This window comes from Homo sapiens, chromosome 11 (assembly GCF_000001405.40).
Source record: "Homo sapiens chromosome 11, GRCh38.p14 Primary Assembly".
Taxonomy (NCBI): Eukaryota; Metazoa; Chordata; class Mammalia; order Primates; family Hominidae; genus Homo; species Homo sapiens.
The window spans coordinates 110,920,485-110,924,792 of NC_000011.10; the positions used below are offsets into that span (position 1 = coordinate 110,920,485).

At 40.7% G+C, this 4,308-nt stretch overlaps 1 long non-coding RNA gene across 1 annotated transcript; it reads right to left on the minus strand.

Annotated features, from left to right (window-relative positions):
* Positions 1-1,522: 1,522 nt before the first annotated feature.
* On the minus strand, positions 1,523-3,450 carry LOC105369488 (uncharacterized). Its single transcript, XR_948008.3, has 2 exons — positions 3,147-3,450; positions 1,523-1,713 (listed from the first exon to the last, which is right to left on the minus strand). It is a non-coding gene; the product is annotated as an uncharacterized LOC105369488 (long non-coding RNA).
* Between the last annotated feature and the right edge of the window lie 858 nt (positions 3,451-4,308).

Consider the following 4,308-nt stretch of genomic DNA (forward strand, 5'->3'; position numbering starts at 1 on the left):
TACTATTCTTTCTGCAACTAAACTGTCCCCAGGTACCAGGAAAGTATAGTACAAATGAATTTTTATTGACACTAATACCCAGATCCTGGTGACTTTCAGTCCACATTGCCCCATGAAGGACTTCCACGTCTGCCCTCCCCTAGTCTTCCCCAATTATTCCCCAGTTCTCACTGGTACCATCCAGATGCTTTCACTGGTGGCCTTCATGAGGAGGCAAATCTCTTGAAGACTGCCTCCTTTGCTCTCACTGCCCTGGGCTGTCAGAGCAGCAAAGCTGCCCTCAGGTTAATGACCCTGAGAGTCTAGGGGCCAGGGAGGAGAACTGGCTTCTCAAGTCTGGAGGGCTCACCTCAGCCTGAGACCACCCCGCCTTAGTCCAGACACAGACTTTCAGGATGAGCAAATCCTTCTGGCCTCTCTCCTATGGGCCTCAAAACCAATCCCTCCGGACCCTGAGGTCTAAGGGCGCAGGGATCACGTCACAACCAAACCACCCATTTCTTACTGCTTTTTCTCCTTCACTCTTCCTCTCTTGCATAAAATCCCTTCCCCTTTCTTCAGCAAAAGCCACAAAGACCCAGGCTTATCTAAACTGCAGAGAGGTCACCAACTAGATTTTTCTTAAACAGCTACATTGAATCCCAGCTTGACCTAGCTGGCGGCACCCAAAGACAATTTGAACTGAGCCTCTGAACTTTAGTGTGGAGGTATGGTCTAAATCACCTGTTTCACTCTGATCAGCCTATAGATCTTGGACTGGTGTGAGAGCCACCAATGGATCTGTGAGGGCTACATGTGGATTGGTGAGGGCTTCCAACTGGCTGCCTGAAGTTCTGGGGTGTCGGGAGGGCCAGGGGTAATAGGACACCTCCTTCTTTAGGACTGAGGACCTCTAACCTCCTGACCCCTGTCCAGAAAGAATTTCCTATTTCTAATACTTGTAGGCAGCCTCTTTCTATTTCAGCTCACCATAGCTCAATCTGCCTCTCAAGCAGCTCATGCCTTACTCTGCTTTAGGATTTGTGTGAACAGCCTCTACATATACACTACTTGATTATATAGTTCACAGTGCAAGAATCCATTCACTAGGCTGAAGCTCTGCTTATGGCCATTGTTGAGCAGCAGTTGTTCATTTCACTTAAGTTCTGTTCAATTTGGTTGTGCCCATTTGTGGCCAGCTCTTCTGGAATGTGACAGGAGAAACTGAGCTCATGCTGTAGCGCAACATTCACCCCTCCCTCCCCACGGCCCCCCAGCACCCTGGCCGTGTCCTGGCAGTCGACTCCCATATAAACTCACCCCCACCCCTGGGCCAGCTCTCTCAATTCTTTTGGATACAGAGGAGTGCTCATTCTCCTGCTCAGCTGTGGTCTTGGAAATGCCTTGTGCCTCCTCCCACTATAGCTCCTGGCTGCCCTCCCTAGGCCTGGTGCCTAAGGCCCCTCCTTCCTCCTAACCAGGAGCTCCCACCTGGCCCTCTGACAGGAAGGTGAGAAATGCCCAAGTAAATCAACAGAGACTCTCAAATTGGCAAACAGCTTTATTTTCTTTTTAGAATTCCAATACCTAGTTTGGTGAGACAGGAGGTTTCATGAGCTGCCTGTGGGAGGGTAAGTTGTTTCATCACTTCTGGAAGGCAATTTGGCTAAGTGTCAAGCACTGCTAAAATATTCACATCCCTTAATCCAGCAATTTTTCTTTAGAGCAAGTTTCCTGCAATTCACAGGGGAAAACAGAAAGAAATTTTAAAAGGCACTCAACCTCACTAGGAATAAAGAAAATGCAAATCAAAACACCAAGATTTTTTTTTAAGCACTGGATTGGGAGAAATGTAAAAGGTTGATAAGGTGGTTAAGGGTGTGGGGATATGGGCATTTTAACACACTGCTTCTCTGAATATGAACTGGCCCAGCATTTCAGGAAAATCACTTGGTATAATATATTAAAATTAAAAATGTACATCCCCTTTGGACAAATAATCCCAATTCTCCGGACTACCTTAAAGAATTAAAAAACATCAGCACATAAAGGTACATGTGGATGTTTAATGCAACATTATTAGAAACTTAGAAACTCCCCAAACTTATAAACATGTATTTCTATTTATGGGATACAACTTAACAAATTATGGTACATTCATATTATGGACTATTATACAGTTATTTAAAAAGAATTAGTGCTATATCTTTTGCCCTGGAGCATTGCTTGATATATATTCAGTGAAAATAATTTCAGAGAAACTAGTATTGTTAAGACTACATTTTTACTAAAAATAAAAACCATTCAATGTTTCACTTATTTTTTAAACAAATGTTTATTAAGGCCTAGCTAGCTCTGTGCCAGGCACTAGAGATTAAGTAGTAAAGAACACAGGATTCTCATTTTCCTATGTACTATTTAAGCAAAGAAAATGCATAGAAAGAAAATATACCTCAAGAAATTATAGAAGGAAAGGAAGGAAAAAGTCTCACTTTTCTTTTACATTCCTGCATGGCTTGAATTGTTTACGTGAACCTGTATGACTTTTGTTGTTAAATTTTAAAATTCACACACAGGCAGAAAAAAAAAATCTGTATCCTAATGAAATCATCAGAGAGGTACCTGGGACTTATGTACAAGGAGACACTGTCAGATAGTGGTTATGAGCGTGGCTTTGGAGTTAGAGCCTAGTGTGGTTGCTTCTCTGCCACGGACTCAGCTGTGTGATCCTGAGTAAGTTGTTTGACTTTTCTGTGTCTCAGTTTCCTTCTCAATAGAAGGAAAATCACAATAATGCTCAGCTTGAAGTATGATGAGTGTGAGGATTAAATGAGATGATGGTGTCAGCATAGCATTTACTATAATGTCTGGCATATAGTAAATGCTTAATAAATGGTAGCTAAAAAGGTATGAGGATGTTTATCTTAGTATTATTTAAAATGGCAACAAACAAATGTCTTATAACTGCTATATAAATAATGAACATTATCTGTGTGGAGTACCTATGAAGACAATAAAATCACATTTTTAAAGAATTTTTAATGAAATGAGAAAACCAATTATAATTTTGTAGTGAACAAAACATATATATATTACTTCTATATATTAATATATATAAAACATATATTACCTAATATATATAAAACATATATATATATATTACTTACTGTAATTCCCATTTCCATAAAACATATTTTTGTGTATATGTATAGGAAGAAGCCTTGGCAAGAAATGTCCAGGATATTAACAAGTTTTCTGAAGCTTTTATAATTTCCCCTTGTCTATTTTCCAAATGACAAGGAGTAAAACCTTTTAAAGAGAAAAGAGCCTCTGTGCTTGCCTCCAAGCTCAGAAGATGGGAAAGGGCAGGTTTTCCAGCTTCCATTTTCCTTCACCTGGTTGAGGAGGAAAATCCCAGGTGACACAGGAATTGTGGCACTGTTAAATTGGGAAGGAAGGCAGACTGCGTCTAAAGACAGAGGTCAGCCTAAGCCAGAAGAGGAGGGAAACTCAGAAGGGCTTACGTGAGCAAGTAGAGATTCTGATTTAGCAATCAGAACCTCTGAACTGGAAGGGAATTTGGAAATTATCGAATTCCTTGCTTCTCAAAGTGTGGTATGTGGATCACCCAGGGCTTTTAAAAATTCAGAATCTCCAGTTTTACCGTAAATCTAATATATCAGAATTTGCATTCTAACAAGATTCCCAGGTGGTTCTTTTGCACATTGCAGCTTGAGAAGCAAAAGACATTCCTGTGATTTATAATATTAAGATGGGGAATCCGCAACCCTTAAGAGGCAAAATGATGAGTTCAAGGCCACATAGCCATTTTAGTGGTAAAAACTGGACCAGAAAACATGTCTTTTAACCCCCGACCCATTGTTTTCTCACTGTGTCTTGCTGCCTGTCACTACATCGCCCAGCTATTCACCCTATTTGGTATATATTATGTGGTACTTCTTCCCAAGCCTTTTCCATTTCAGTAATTTTCACAGGTATGTATTTTATTCATTATGACTTTATTGCACTGAGACAAATTATTTTTGCTATATAGTGATGGGTGAACTCAAGGTCAGCTGCCATTGCTAGCATTATTGAAAGTGCCTTGGTCTAACTCCTTGGAAGCTTTTTAAATGTTTGTTGCAATTGGTCTTTAGCCTCTTATAAATTTGCTGTCGCCAGATCCAAGTGAAATCATGGTCCAAAAGACAATTGAATGGCTCAGAATTTCTGACCTCAGACTCAGCACAAACACCTTCCCCATCCTACTCTTCCCTTTGTTCTGTGTTCCACCTTGCTTCTGCTCCCAATCTCTTTTGTTCTCTTTCA